Source organism: Homo sapiens, chromosome 1 (assembly GCF_000001405.40).
Source record: "Homo sapiens chromosome 1, GRCh38.p14 Primary Assembly".
Taxonomy (NCBI): Eukaryota; Metazoa; Chordata; class Mammalia; order Primates; family Hominidae; genus Homo; species Homo sapiens.
This window is the reverse complement of record NC_000001.11, coordinates 63,912,075-63,928,840: the sequence shown is the minus strand read 5'-3', so window position 1 is coordinate 63,928,840 and position 16,766 is coordinate 63,912,075. Positions and strand designations below refer to the sequence as shown.

Here is a 16,766-nt window from a genome sequence, read left to right as displayed (position 1 = left end):
TATCCCAAGGACTCACTGAGCACTAAGTGCCAGGCACTGTTCTAAGAGCTTTATTTGTATTAACCCATTTATTCCTTGAAACAATTCTAGTAGGTAGATGCCATTAACATCCTTATTTTACAGATGAGAACAGGGAAGCTAGTCTTGTGATGACAAAGTCCCACAGCTAGTAATGGCAGAATTAGGATTCAAACACCACAGCCATGACCTAGGAGAGACTGAGAGCAGGTTTTTCAGGATGCAAGCCTATATAAGCTAAGTCTTATCACCACATTAGTGAAAGGTGTGCTATGTTTATAATTTGAGAATTTTGTGGGATACTGGGCATATCTGCTCCTCTTACCCTAATAACCATATTAGCGTCTTGCGTCTGCATAGGAGGCACTTCTGCCACGCCTGCTGTAAAATGACTAAGTTGCTAATAAAAGTAATGCTTCTCACTGTGACTGGTGCCAACCCCAGTCTCTGAGTGCCAATGGCCTCTTGGCTTTTCCCACCAACTTTTCTGGATGGCTCTAAGCAGACAAACCACCCAGACTGCTGCAAATGTTACTTGGAGAAGAGCACATGCCAGGAGCAACAAGAAAAGGGCCCACCCTCATTGCAGTTGGAGCTTTCCTAAGTAAATCCGTCCTCCAAAATAAGTTAATTACTCCTACCCAGGATTCTTATGGAGCTTGCGATTGCCAAGTGCTTCAAGATCAATTTCATGAGCATTTCCCCGACTCCCTGTATAAGATGGAATTGGCCATTTGACAAACGGTTTTGGTGACTTCCATGAGGACAAGGATGCAGGTACTCAGAGCAGCCTCACGGTTCAAAACCACGCAGTTGCCAGCATGCCAAATCATTAGGCTGGCTGGCAAAAAAAAAAAAAAAAAGGGAACCCCTTACATTTTGGTTTCTCACTTGTCAGTGGATCGCAAAGGACTATGGATAGTGAGATATTTTGTTAGGATTGAAAAGAGCATCAACCAAATTTTAACTCCTAAAAATCCAGAACAGGCCTAGTCGTTGAGGAAACAAAAGAAGCAAGATGGAATGTCCTGAAACTTAAATTCCTCATGATTGCAATGGAGTGGGTACACCTCTAGTTGTCTGAAAAGGGATGGGGCTTTGAGTCATGGATACATGGGCCTAACCCACCAATTACTAGTGGTGTGAATATGAACAATTCACCTTATTTCCATGAGCCACAGGTTCCTCGTCTAAAATGAGGATATCAACATCCCCCCAGGACTGCTGCTAGTTCAGAGAGGCTACTCTATTTTTTTTTTTTTTTTAAGAAAAAGAGGGAATCCTCTCTAACTCATTTTATGAGGCCAGCATCATTCTGATACCAAAGCCAGGCAGAGACACAACAAAAAAAGAGAATTTTAGACCAATATCCTTGATGAACATTGATGCAAAAATCCTCAATAAAATACTGGCAAAACAAATCCAGCAGCACATCAAAAAGCTTATCCACCATGATCAAGTGGGCTTCATCCCTGGGATGCAAGGCTGGTTCAATATACGCAAATCAATAAATGTAATCCAGCATATAAACAGAGCCAAAGACAAAAACCACATGATTATCTCAATAGATGCAGAAAAAGCCTTTGACAAAATTCAACAACCCTTCATGCTAAAAACTCTCAATAAATTAGGTATTGATGGGACGTATTTCAAAATAATAAGAGCTATCTATGACAAAACCACAGCCAATATCATACTGAATGGACAAAAACTGGAAGCATTCCCTTTGAAAACTGGCACAAGACAGGGATGCCCTCTCTCACCACTCCTATTCAACATAGTGTTGGAAGTTCTGGCCAGGGCAATCAGGCAGGAGAAGGAAATAAAGGGTATTCAATTAGGAAAAGAGGAAGTCAAATTGTCCCTGTTTGCAGACGACATGATTGTATATCTAGAAAACCCCATTGTCTCAGCCCAAAATCTCCTTAAGCTGATAAGCAACTTCAGCAAAGTCTCAGGATACAAAATCAATGTACAAAAATCACAAGCATTCTTATACATCAACAACAGACAAACAGAGAGCCAAATCATGACTGAACTCCCATTCACAATTGCTTCAAAGAGAATAAAATACCTAGGAATCCAACTTACAAGGGATGTGAAGGACCTCTTCAAGGAGAACTACAAACCACTGCTCAAGGAAATAAAAGAGGATACAAACAAATGGAAGAACATTCCATGCTCATGGGTAGGAAGAATCAATATCATGAAAATGGCCATACTGCCCAAGGTAATTTACAGATTCAATGCCATCCCCATCAAGCTACCAATGCCTTTCTTCACAGAATTGGAAAAAACTACTTTAAAGTTCATATGGAACCAAAAAAGAGCCCGCATCGCCAAGTCAATCCTAAGCTGAAAGAACAAAGCTGGAGGCATCACACTACCTGACTTCAAACTATACTACAAGGCTACAGTAACAGCATGGTACTGGTACCAAAACAGAGATATAGATCAATGGAACAGAACAGAGCCCTCAGAAATAACGCCACATATCTACAACTATCTGATCTTTGACAAACCTGAGAAAAACAAGCAATGGGGAAAGGATTCCCTATTTAATAAATGGTGCTGGGAAAACTGGCTAGCCATATGTAGAAAGCTGAAACTGGATCCCTTCCTTACACCTTATACAAAAATCAATTCAAGATGGATTAAAGACTTAAACGTTAGACCTAAAACCATAAAAACCCTAGAAGAAAACCTAGGCATTACCATTCAGGACTTAGGCATGGACAAGGACTTCATGTCTAAAACACCAAAAGCAATGGCAACAAAAGACAAAATTGACAAATGGGATCTAATTAAACTAAAGAGCTTCTGCACAGCAAAAGAAACTGCCATCAGAGTGAACAGGCAACCTACAGAATGGGAGAAAATTTTCGCAACCTACTCATCTGACAAAGGGCTAATATCCAGAATCTACAATGAACTCAAACAAATTTACAAGAAAAAAACAAACAACCCCATCAAAAAGTGGGCGATGGACATGAACAGACACTTCTCAAAAGAAGACATTTATGCAGCCAAAAAACACATGAAAAAATGCTCATCATCACTGGCCATCAGAGAAATGCAAATCAAAACCACAATGAGATACCATCTCACACCAGTTAGAATGGCAATCATTAAAAAGTCAGGAAACAACAGGTGCTGGAGAGGATGTGGAGAAATAGGAAAACTTTTACACTGTTGGTGGGACTGTAAACTAGTTCAACCATTGTGGAAGTCAGTGTGGCGATTCCTCAGGGATCTAGAACTGGAAATACCATTTGGCCCAGCCATCCCATTACTGGGTATATACCCAAAGGACTATAAATCATGCTGCTATAAAGACACATGCACACGTATGTTTATTGCGGCATTATTCACGATAGCAAAAACTTGGAACCAACCCAAATGTCCAACAATGATAGACTGGATTAAGAAAATGTGGCACATATACACCATGGAATACTATGCAGCCATAAAAAATGATGAGTTCATGTCCTTTGTAGGGACATGGATGAAATTGGAAATCATCATTCTCAGTAAACTATCGCAAGAACAAAAAACCAGACACCGCATATTCTCACTCATAGGTGAGAATTGAACAATGAGATCACATGGACACAGGAAGGGGAATATCACACTCTGGGGACTGTTGTGGGGTGGGGGGAAGGGGGAGGGATAGCATTGGGAGATATACCTAATGCTAGATGATGAGTTAGTGGGTGCAGCGCACCAGCATGGCACATGTATACATATGTAACTAACCTGCACAATGTGCACATGTACCCTAAAACTTAAAGTATAATAATAAAAAAATAAAAAATAAAAAATAAAGAAAGAAAAAGGTGTCATCTGGGTGGAGGAAGTTTTTTCTTAAAAAAAAAAAAAAAAAAAAAAAAGCATCCCCTTTGCTGGTCCAATCCGCAAAACCTTCCACCGTTCTCAAGGGCTGATGAGAAAATGTGGACAGGGTCAGGCATTCTCCAGATTTAGATTAGATGTCACTCCTTTAGAGATGACTCCCTGATCCTCCAGAAGAGGGCCTCCTACAAAATGCTCCCAGGCCCTCCTGTGCTGCTCTCTTGTTAAATACTTGTTTCAATGGAAAATTCTTGCACTCAGTGCCAGTCTTCACTGTCAAACTTTAAGCTCGGTAAAGGCAGAGCCAGGTCTTTCATGGTTAGTTGCTATGAGCCCAGAGTTCAGCACATAGAGCAGCACACAGTGAGCTCTTTTCAAATAACTGAACGAGTGAATGAAAGTATCGGGAGGCAGTAGGCTGTATGAGATGGTCTCTCACCATACCGCAATGCTCTGAAGACGAGTGATTCTTCCACCCACCCCTTCCCATCAGGCCTGTCCATGGCCACTGGATCCCAAACCTCGGCTTGAATATAGACATTGAAAGACTTCCCTCTTATTTTTAAAAATTCATTTCTACTTATTTTTAATATATAATAAAAAATGTATTCATTCAATCAATCAATATTTGCTGAGTGCCTCTTATACAGCAGACACTGGTTAGAACTAGTGCTGTAACCCTGGCCAGAGTTACCTTCTAGTGGGTGGAGATAAACTGTCAACAAATACATGAGAAAACTTCAAGTAGTGCTGAGTACATGAAGAAAATTAAAACACTGTAATGTGTTAGAAAGTCACTGGGGGAGAGAATGTGGTGAGTTTCTACGGAGAGGTCAGGTGGTTCTCTAAATGAAAACCTAAACCCATGCTATCTGCATCTGGAATAACCTGCACAAAGTGAACTGTTAACCAGATACCAGAGGTTGCTAGCTTTATAGTCTTATGAAATGGAAGAACCCCGTGTTTAGAGCTACAAAATTTCCAGCTATGCAAAGATCTTGGAGAATAGCATTCCAGGCAAAGGGGACAAACAGCACATGCAAAGGTCCTCAGGCCCCCTGGTTTTGGTGCATCCAAGGAAGAAAAAGAAGGCCGTCATGACCGAGGCACAGTGAGCTGGGTATCGAGGGGCATCCAGTGGAGGTGGGTAAGTGGGCAGGGACCACAGCAGGTGGCAGTTTGCAGGGTAAGGGGTACAGATTGATTCAAAGTGCAATTGGAAACCGCTGAAGAGTTTTACAAAAGCGAATGAATGATCTGGTTTATATTTTAATAAAATCACTCTAGATGCTCTGTCAAGTGGGAGTACAAGCAGAAGACCAGGTAAGAAGCTAGTATAGTAATCTAGGCTAGAGGTGAAGCTGATTTAGACTAAGGTGGTAGCTAGACACAATATAGATAGGCTTAAGGCATAATTTAGAAGTGTCAGAATTTGTGATGACTTCTGAGAGGAGAGGGAAAGAGAAAAATTAAGGATGATGTAATCCAGAAGAAAGTAAGCTACAACAATCCTCTTTGCCTGGGTACCTACTGTGATCTGGCACCACTGGCTCAATTAACCCTCACAACTCAGAGAACGGAGTACTATCCTTATTCCCACTTGCAGGTGAAAAACTGAGACTCAAAGACATTGAGTAACCAGCCCAAACCAACAGGACCTTGCGTCTCCAGTGTCAATCACCTTTTCAAGATTCCACATGGCCTGGGATCCTGTTCCAGAGTTACAAGGAAGTTTGCAGAAAGTTTTGGGGGGGAACCCAGCACTCTGTGGGTATATTAAATGCTTTCTGAGCCAAGAGGGGCTGAAGTGCCACGCTGGGAAGCCCAAGGGCAGGTGTCACACGCAATCTGTTTTACATCAGTCGCCCAGGGTTATTTCAGCCCCGTGATCTCACATGCCCCGTGACATGATGGGATGTGACAGGGCCAACCCAGGAGGCCCTACCAACAGCACAGGAAGCTGGCAGTTGTTTTCATTATTACTATCATTAGAATCAAGTAGCTCTTTTCCACTGAGAGCCACTGCTAATTTCTTAGCCGGATGGTCACTAACACTGGTTAATCCATGTAATACAGGGGAATATGGAAACAACCCTCAGAGTTGGAGCTGGAAAAACCAAGACTAAAGTCCACTTAGTCCTAAACACTTGGAATAGTTAGGCTGTGTATAAGTCTCTTAACCCTCTAAGTCTCTAGTTTCCTCTTCTCTAAAATATGGGTAACAAAACCATCAACATCACAGCACTACATGAGGATTACCTGGATAAGCTGTGTTAAAGCTCATCATCATCATCATCAATACTAAAAAGAAAAAGCCTGCTGTCTTCAGTTGCCGCTCTCCTCTATTCCTAGGAAAAGTGAGCTGTAGAACTCTTTATGAAATTCTGCAAATTAAGAATTCAAAGAATTCTGGAACAATTCTCCAATTCTGTTGCAAAGAGACGGATGTTTGGCACAAAATCCTGGGCTTCGACATAAACTCATGCTATCTACCTCTGGAATAACCTGCACAAAGTGAACTGTTAACCAGATACCAGAGGTTGCTAACTTTATAGTCTTATGAAAAGGAGAGAATCACGTGTTTTGACCTACTAAATTGAAAAGACTTACCTTTTACAAAGAGAAACAAAACCAAACCCCAGGCAAGTGAGCCTGTCTGAGCTTTAGGTGCCTCATCTATGAAATTGGAACAATTTCATAATTCAGACTACCTTCCTCCTAGGAGTGTTGTGAAGATTAAGTAAAATAACTCACATAAAATACTCAGTAAATGTTATGTCCCTCACTTCCACTCCCCAGCCCAGAGACTTTCTTTATTCTTAATGGGTTCAGTGCAAGAAGGACAAGCTGTGATAGTCTAGGGGTTTCTATTGGTAAAGAAAAGGCTGAAGTGGGCTGCTCTGAAACAGCATGAAGCCAGAAGCTCTATGCATCTCCTGAATACAGAATAGGCTGAGAAGCATAACAAGCCCTCAGAGAGACATAAACCAAAGTGGGAGCTCCTGAGATACCCCCTCTTTCCTGCCTACTGCTGAAGACAGACTCTATATTTTTTAATTATAAAAATGCACATTTGCAGTGTTTCTTTGGTTTTCCCAAGAGCTTTTGTGCATCCTGTCTCACTTCTGCAGTCCTGGGTGGGCAGAGCAGATGTTTACCAGTCTGCTTTGTAGATGAGGATATCGGGACACTGAAAGGCTCAGTGATTAAACTAGGTCACATAGCAAGTCTGTAAATGAGCCCTGATGAGAACACAGGTTTCCTGACTTCTAGCCTCCCACCCCACCCGCCCCACCCCACTCTCTCTGCCGCACCTTATCAGTCATGTTCCTAGGATAGCGTACATTCTTCCTTTAACTTTAAGGTGTGTTAGCATTGTAAACCGTGCCATTGGGCCTTAAGGTTCCAAGCTCTTAGATTCCTTTGGTGCACATGGTAGCGACAACAACCATAATGATCATGTTAAACTGGGGCCTGGGGCCAAATCCAGGCCTACTGCCTCTTCTGGTGTGAAAGTGACAATATGTTCCTGTCTTATCCTGCTTGTATTTCCTCTGCCATTTACTTGGTTCTCTAAGATCTTGCTACTTCAAGAGGTCACCTGGATGTGCAGCGTCGCCACCCCCATGAGCTTGTTAGAAATGCAAACTCGCAGGCTCCACCACAGCACTTTCAAATCGGAATCTGCATTTTACCATGATTCCCAGGCGATCCAAACGCACGCTGAATTTAATAAGCACTGCCCTGAAGAACTCAAAATGTGTTCAATAAACCGTCAACACAGAACATGGAAGGTGATAAAACACCCATACTGGCAGTTCAGAGGTGATTACCGAGTTACTTCGATTGTCCTTTAATCATGGTGTCTGGCACACAGTAAGCACTACATAAACATTTTTAGAACTAATTGCTGATTCATTATTTAATAATTTAGTCCGTTTGTAGGGTCTGTTCATCACCCTTCTCTCCTACTGCTCCCTCTTCTGGAGAGTTAAATGAATTTGGACATGTAAAGCACTGAGAACAGTGTCTCCCACAGAGTAAATGCCCAACAAGTGTCCAACATTCTTACTAACAGGCCATGAAGGTAGCTGCCTTCCTAACTGACCACTTTGGCTGTAAGAAGGAATGTGTAACACGGGCCACCTTGGGGCTTTGTGGGAATGCCACTTGGTTAAAGGAATGCAAACTTATCTTAAGAAATAGACACTCTGAAGCATACTTTGTAATGCATAAAAAAATTATTCCAGTGGATTCCAGGGAAATGATTAAGTGTCCAGGAGAGGTGGGCTGACAGATTATCAGTGTTGGTATGTAAACTATGTTTGGCAGAGTAGCGAAAAGCAAAGCACTTCCTCATATCTGTATCTGCCTCTCGTCTTGCTTTTGATTTGAAGATAAGAGACTCTGGAGTAATGAATCATGGTGGTGGAGAATGGCGTGATGGACAGGCCTCCTGAATCCGGTCAGACAGACACTTCTGTTTCAAAGGTAGCCTTAAGCATTAATGAGCCTTCACTTGCTAACCACTCCACCCTCTTGCCTTGTTCTTTGCCACTACACTGACTTTGCTCTTACCATTAAACCATACCTATGAGACGCCTTCCTGCTATTCTTTCCTTACCCATCCTTTGAAAAACCAGCTCAAATAAATCCCTCCTCCCATCACCAGTGCTTCAGCCTGAGGTCTTTCCTTCCTCACTTATTTGGCAGCTGGGTGCTGTTTTGTTGTTTAATTTTTTTTCCATTTAATTTTCCAAGTTACACCAAATATTCCACCAAAGCAGGGATTGCATCTGATATTTCTTTGAACTTTCCCATCCTGCCCAACAATGTTTCTCACACTGAACAGGGTCTTGGCATTTATGGGTTTACTGAGCTATTTTTACAAACAGATAAAAGAAAGACAGGAGATTACAGATGGATTTCCCATCACTTTTAATAAAAATAACTGCATTTCTATAACATGAGAAACAAAAGCAGCTTTCAGCATTTTCAGCTGCATTTAAGCTACATTTATTTTGCCTCTGCTAAGCGGATATTTGGTAGTTTTCCCGGATAGTTGAACCACCTTATTTTCTGCTGATTCCTATTACTATCAGATCATAAGAAGGCATATTCTGAGACGAAGCTTTAAGTTATAGATCACTGTGCATCGCTAATAATTAGTCAATACTCAATAAGTGCTGACAGCTGTGCTAAATGCTTTAGGTGCATTAATCATGACAGCATGATGACGGCGGCACTATTATGATCCCCAATTGAACAAAGAAACAGGCTCTGGAAGAGTAATTTACTCAAGGTCAGAAAGACAGGAAGTAGCAAGGCCAATGGAAACCAATATCTCGTCTTCCAAAAGAACCCAGATGCTTACCCATTATGCTCTGCTGTCTCTGTGTAAGTTTCCTCTATCTTGCTGAAACAATAAAAAGATTATCTAATAAATTAATATAGTTATCTAGTGCAAAAAAAAAAAAAAAAAGCCAATTCAATGAACACTGCTCATAGGAAAACTCTACCTTTAGGGGAATTCAGCCCAGGCTATAAAACACATTCTCTGGGCTGATTTTTGGCATAAAATGTCAAGGACAAAATAAATTTTTTGCTGATTAAAAGAAAAACCTCTCGGTAGCGGCCATTAAATTTTACAGCTGAAGAAAGAGGGCATTCATCGGCATTGGCTCTTTTTGGTCCTTAATCATAATGCCTAAGCTCCTATTAGTTTTAGAAAAACAAAAAGGAATTTTTTTCTCAATGTGTCAATATAATGCACTCCTTCCCAAAACAATGTTAAATAAAAATGAGGCATTTTTTTAAAATGCTTGAAGAGAACCAGTCCTACCCTTTGACCCTGTGCATTGAACCATCATTTCAAAGATGTTTCAAAGCATTTTAGTCCTGTTATTTACCCTCTAGATATTCCTGTCTTTTGGAAGATTTGTCAGTTTTTTAGAAAATCTCAAGATATGCATTAACATTCATTAATACTGAACTTTCAAGGCTAACTGGTTTTATTTGCTTAGCAAACTTATCTTTTTAAAAAGATGAATGGTTAAAGGTATTTCCTCATGCTGGTCATTGTCTCGCGGAGACAGCACTGCCCACCGATTTTGGGACCCAGATGAGGTCTCAGGACACTCTTCAGAGCCTAGGGCTAGCTATGGAACTGTTCCACGCACTCAGCCTCATGCCTCACTACTTGTGTGGGCAGCATTTGGCCCTCTCTCTATTTACACAAACTCCCTAACGGTCTCTGGCACCACTGACGTCTCAGAGGGAGGCACAGTATATAGAGTGTTTCACAAGAAAATTTTTAAACAAAAGGAATTAAAGAAAAGCCCTGTTTAATAGTAAGTTTTTACCAAGCTCCTAAATTCTCGAGAGCATGTGAAATATTAACTTTCCCCAAATGGGAGCACAGAGCTTGCCTTGTTTCAATTCATAGTGTTGGGTCACAAACGCTCTAGAGAGTACCACGCCCCGTTCTTAAGAACCTACTGAGATTCTTCATAAAGAGTGGTTTAAAAAGCAAAGGGTCTGGGCTCAGACAGACCTGCGTTCAAATTCTGGTTTTGACACTTTCCAAGTCTCAGGTACTTCATCTATAAGGTGGAGATCATAGTGGTAACTACTTCATTGCTTTGTTGTGAGATTCCTGTCGTATGATGTGCTGCTCATACCAAGCATTCAGTGCGTCGTGCTGGGTGGAATATAGTCAGCCTTCCACTATTCTGACTCAGGGAGGGACGCTTTGGCAGAAAGTACAACATGGTGAATCTCTAACATAAATTCCTAAAACTTCTCCTGTTCCAGGCACCCAAACGCAATCTGGGTCTAGCTTGGTTTACGGCAGGTGCCGGGGCACCCGAGTCAGGGCTAACAACAAGCATGGCCTCAAGGGGGCACTAGACAAGAGTCTGCGAGATGGCAGGTAGTGGTGACTCCTCACTTTGGAACAACAGTTGTCTCCCCAGAGCTGGCTTTCTCATCCTCTCTGCCCATCACTAGGATGGGAGAGCAGCATTAAGAAATTAGCCACCACCCTACTGCCTTCAGAAGCTCCTAGATAATCCCAAGACAGCCATTTTGCTCACCCACATCACTGAGCCTGCAGAGGCCCTGTCATTATGCCACGTGCTTTCCACAAAACAACATTTGCCTCCACCAGGGGCAGGTGGCAACTCCTTAACTGTCCAATACTTTCCCCTCTACCAACCACAGTCATTTCCTGTGGCCAGGGCTCTCCCCACGTGGTCTGCAGCTCCATCTGCCACATCTCCATTTTCCTGGACAGTCACTCTTGATTTCTCATCATATACTCCTTTTGGATAAAGTAAAATGCTGATTGAGAAGCAAAAATGATTTAATTTTTTATAATTTTGCATCGGTTTCCATGAAACAATAGATCATACAAATCTGATTTGAGTCTAGCAATAGGGGATTGGTTGAATAAAATGATGGCAAATTAAATTTAGTGGATGCTTAATCCTGTTTACCATACTATTAAGGGAAAATCATATTATTTTATAGAATAGAAAAAAAATTTTAAAGTATATGCCAAAAAATGGAAAGTGGCTTTTCTTTGGTTGTAGAACTGTGATTGCTTTTTTTCTTCCTGTTTGCTTATTTGCATCTTCTGATGTATCTGTGATACATTTAATAATTAATTTCTTAAACAAATACCCTTTGAGTACCTGCCAGGTGTCAGGCTTAGACTGAGTGCCAGAATTACCCTCATGGAATTCACAGTCCAGTGGAAGAGGAGACATTCATCAGGTAATCACACAAATGTATAATTATAAACTGGGACAGGAGCCACAGGGAAAGTATGGTGCCCAGTGACCAATGTAAGAGGTCACCTGATGTCTTCTGCTGTGAGGTTGGGTTCAGGGACAGTGTCCGTAAAGAAATAATATGTAATGTTGACTTAAGGAAAGAAGAATTGAAAGCTGAAGGGGAAGGGAGCAGAAGGGCTCACACGCAGAGGACAGCAAAGGCCCTGAGGCTGGACCCTGCACAGTAACAGTCTAGGAACTGAAAGTAGGCCTGAGCAACTGCAGAGAGAATGGTGAGACTTGAGCAAAAGGTAGGCCAGGGCTTTATAGGAGAAATTGAGGGTTTTGCTCTTTACCCTTAATGCAGTGAGTAACTTCAATGCAGGAGAGTAAAATGATCCACTTTAGCCATGAGATCACTGGCACCCTGGGCCACTGTCTCACTTCCCCCTACTCTGTCAATAGCCAAGGAGTCTCAGATGCAGGCCAGGTGGAAGCAGAGGTCTCACATCAGGAGGTGGGACCTTTGAGCTGATCAGAGCACTATGTTGTCTCTAAGGACTGTTCAGGAACAAAGTGTACAGTCTATGCCTGGGCAAAGGCAAATTACACTGGCACAATGTTCAAAACTCTATTTTATCTCAAAACCTGTAACCAGTGCTTCAGAGAACAAATGGCAGGTGTATTTACATTAAACATGAAACTCATTCAATCTTGTATTTGTGAAGCATGGGGCTCTTTTATTCCTGGTTTCACAGGGGTTTTGTAGTCTGTTATCTCCTATTACCATGTTATTAGGCTTTTCCTCAATCCCTACCACTCCCTTAACCCCTACTCCTTTCAAACTTTCTCCACAAGTATGTGCCACTTGGTTTTCCACCTTGATGAGCCCTTCTTGAGAAGGCGCCTGGCCCGATGAATGCTCTTTGTATCCTCTTGCCTTCAACAATGGTAGCCAGATCAGATGGATCATTTTGCAGTTATTGTTCATGCGAAGAGGAAACTTACAAAAATCTGCAAGGGCTGCCTATTCCTTAAATGACCTCAGAGCCAGAGGATATTTCAAGGGAAGAAAAATAGGGTAGAAATGTTTGTTTTCAGCTATAAGCTTTGGGAGTAGCATAAATAGCATGTTCTGGAGGTCAAGTATGTATAGGGATAAAACAACTGAACCATTCTAGAGTGTCTAGAGAGGTGCCAGGAACAGATTCATGTTTCCCAGAGGGACACTGCAGTGGCCCAGGGGAAAGTTTACATGTATACTTGTAGATGGGGGATCCCACACAGGAGATACTGGGTCTCCGGAGTGGGAGAATTATTCCCTGGGTAGGACTGATGCATCCATTACAAGATATTTAGTATATTTGGTTCAGGGAGCACCAAGTGCCAATTGTAGCACACCCCCCCGGCTTCACATGCATCCACCCCACCCCACCCCCTGCCAATCTTTCTGGCAAAATCAAAAATGCTTCCAAACCCAGGGAAGCAGTACTACTCTGTGTGAGAAGTTCTGTATAAGCATAGCTATCCCTAAATGCAGGCTAGCAACCATCTCCCATCATAAAAGACCAAGGATAGGGGGCAGAGGGTGGGAGATGTTGTGGGCTCTAAGTCCTTGGTAATAGTCATATGATTAAGATAGCCTTAGTCTCATACCCTTCTCTCCATTGCACTCTTCTTATACTCCACTAAGCATTTATTCATGTAGTTTCTGCCATTCCCTATTCTCTAAGTCTGCTATAAAAACCCTGCCCACTCCTCAAGGTGCAGGGAAGGAAAGCTCTCTCCACAAAGCCTCTTTATTGCTCTCCAAACACTTTTTATGTGCACCCTTCTTAGAGCCTGTATCCCACCTTAGACTATACACCAGGGGGCAGTGACTGCCTTATCTCCATCCCAGATTAGAAGCTTTAACAGCAAAGACCAGGTCTCCCTCACGTCTGCATTGCCCACAGGCCCAGAAAAATGGTGACATGGGTTGAGATGGTGGAGTCAGAACTGGGTTTAATGTAACTTTGCCACTTACTATTTAATGTGACCATGGGCAGCCCACTTCTTAACCTCTTAGAGACTCAGTTTTTGTATGTTTAAAAGAAAGATGACTATAATACCTACCTTCAAATGGTTGTTGTGAGGATTTGATGAGAAAATACCAAGCACGATGTATTCAATAAAGGGTAGCTATGAACACAGTGGTACAGTGCTTTGCAATTAACCACTGACTTTCACACATATTGTCTTGTATGATCCTGTGCCAGTGAACTCAGGAGGCTCTCCCAGACCCCATCTGCTCTCCCAAGCTGTGAGCATCAATTCTAACAGTGTCCATCAGCCAAGGTGCATGGAAGCAACAGAGAAGAGAGACTGATTCTGCCTTGGGGAGAGATGAAGCAGAAATGGGGGTGGAGGGGTACAGATTTAAACCAATTTTTTAAAATGGCTGATTACACTGATCACTTCTGAACTGGTTCTTGAAGGAGGGTTTAGAGTTTGCCAAGCAGAGAAGAGGGTTCCAACGGTCATGTGTACACAAAAGATTTGGTGTTTGGCCAGGTTAATAGAACAATCTGGAAAGATAAATTGGGATCAGACTTTAGACTGCCCAAGAGTCATCCGAAGGGATTTGAACTGTCTTCTTCCTACCTCGACTTACAGGTTCTCAGCTTTGCATAACAGCTCCCAACTCTTCCTCCTGGAGGCCTGCTGATTACCGGCATGAGCTGAAATACTGGGGACAGCCACAGCCTGAACTCAGCAGCACCCTGCAGCATGCTACTTTCTCTCTCCTCCTGCCTTCCTCTCCCTAGGAAGTGAAACCACACAATAAACCAGGCACGCAGGGTTCCTGTCCCTCCACTTTCCTAGACTGGGCCACACTTGATCATTCTTGAAGTCATCACAACCCTGCGGGTCTGTACTTGAAATTTCACATATAATTTGTCACAGCTAGAAAGCCTGTTTCTAATAAAACATTTTCCTCTTTGCTTCACCTTCTGAATACTCAAGTTCAGCTCAGGTTCTGGTTATTCAGCCAGTGCTGAAAAGGAGAAAGCAAGAGCTAGTGAAGTCTAACAATTTATTTTTTTTAATCTTAAAACTTTAAAAACAAAAACAAAAACACTAATGCGGCTTCCCAAACTTAGCCATCTCTTTTATACACCTAACCTAGAGCTCCTGACACAGGCATAGGAACTTCTGATATTTGTTCACAGAAGAAACAACCAGAACCTTCCCTGAATTTGAGGCTGCACTGCTAGGGAAGGCTCCCCGGGAGAGGCTGGCATTCACAGAGCCACCGTGTGAGGACGGCGTTTTAAACTGCAGACAATAAAGTGCTCATCATGTGTAAAAAGCCATTAAAAACCTCCAGTGCGAATCACCTTGGTCATGCCATCCTCCCGAGTTTATTATTGTCTTTCCCCTGCTCTTATCCAAACAGCCTGGACAGCTTGTTTATGGAGGGCTCTAGAGCAGCCTCGTAGCAAGGGAGGTGATGACAGAATCACGGGGTGTTGTGGCCACACTGAGCGCAGCTAAGAAAATCTCAGGGGGAGGCCGTGGGACAGGCAAGGGAATGCCTTTCAGTCCAAAATAAGCCTGTCCAGAAAGGTACAGCTGGTTGATGAATAGTTGCTCAATGAATACATGTAGAATGAATAATGAAAGAACCACCTGAATCTTACGGCAACTAGTGAAAGGTATCAGCAAGAAAGAAGCCAAATTCTTCCCAAAATACACAGCATACCCCCAATTTTATCCCTCCTCCTCCCAAGAAATCTGTTTTTGTTTCCAAGGTTGAGTACAGAGATCACACTCACTGAGAACTTTTGTTTAAAATATTTAAGATTTATTTTTCTCCCAGAAAAAATATAGAAATATATTTATAGAAATACAGAAGAAAATATAGAAATATAGAAAAAAACCTTGCAACCCAAAGGGCAATGTATATTACACATGTCTATTCTACATTAATATATCCATATTTTGTGTTTCTTTCATAAAATTTGAGATCTGGTTAGAGATAGTTTTGTTTCCTACATTTACACACTATACCCTTTATCAAGCATAGAAAAATCCAGAAGCTAAATTTTCTTCACCTACCAGAAGTAAAACCACACTGCATTCCTGAAGGTGGAGCCTTTTTTTTTTCCTAGAGATACAACAGCTTTTAAAGAGAGGGGGAAAATAAAAATAAATGGTCCCCAAGTAAAGACAGGGAAGATGTGGTGTCACTATCAGCAACCCCCGCCAAGTTTGCCCATTTCTTATCTGAAGCGCTTCTCCTCACACCCAAAGTTAATTTGTTTTGTTAATCCCAACTAAGATAAAGGATATCTGTGTCTCCCCATGACTGCTGGAAGATTTCTCCTCCTCTGCCCTTCCGTGGCCACAGTCCAACTCAAAAGAACAGGGAGAAGAGAAGCACAAGTATCAGATGAGAACAGCCCGTATCATTCCCTCCCTTTAAAATGTCCACAGCCTTCCTCAAACTAAAACAAGGCAACCCAGCCTCTTAGCCCAACAGTGTCAAGGATACAACTCCGGCTGAATGTTCTGCTTAACTGTCTCTCCCCAGCCCTATAACATAAGATGCCAGTCACAGCCAACATCATACCATTGTATTTTTGCATTGCTTTGCCTTTGTACATGTTATCTATCCTTCCTACCCCTCCTGAAGAACTCCTAACTCATCCAAGATCCGACCTAAATGGCAATAGCTCTGCCTTTCTCCACTTCCCTCAGACAGACCCCTATGCTCTCAGAGCGTTTTGTAAATGCTGCATTTAGAGTGGTTTCTCCTTGCATTATAATAAACTTTATCTTCCCTCAATAGAGTATGAAACCCTGAGAGTAGAGATCAGGACCATGTCTTCTGTTTTTTGTTTTTTTTTTTTTTTGAGATAGGGTCTCACTCTGTTGAACAGGCTGGAGTACAATGGTACCATCATGGCTTGCTGCAGCCTTGAATTTCTGGGTTCAAGTGATCTTCCCACCTCAGCCTCCAGAGTTGCTGGAACTATAGACACATGCCACCATGCTCAGCTAGCTAGTATTTTTTTTTTTTTTTTTTGTAAAGATGGGGATCTCACTCTGTTTCTCAGGTTGGTCTCAAACTTCTGG

The 16,766-nt window shown here is 42.1% G+C and overlaps 1 protein-coding gene across 3 annotated transcripts in view, besides 1 other annotated feature; it reads right to left on the bottom strand.

Annotated features, from left to right (window-relative positions):
- The window catches only part of ROR1 (receptor tyrosine kinase like orphan receptor 1), a 407,482-nt gene that overhangs the window by 252,658 nt on the left and 138,058 nt on the right, over positions 1-16,766 (bottom strand). The gene's annotated exons all lie outside the window — the stretch shown is intronic.
- Positions 10,710-10,779: a silencer, noted in NCBI's record as "silent region_954". NCBI's record gives its function as "represses an Ori minimal core promoter by ATAC-STARR-seq in GM12878 lymphoblastoid cells {active_cell/tissue: GM12878}" and the evidence as "EXISTENCE:reporter gene assay evidence [ECO:0000049][PMID:35858748]".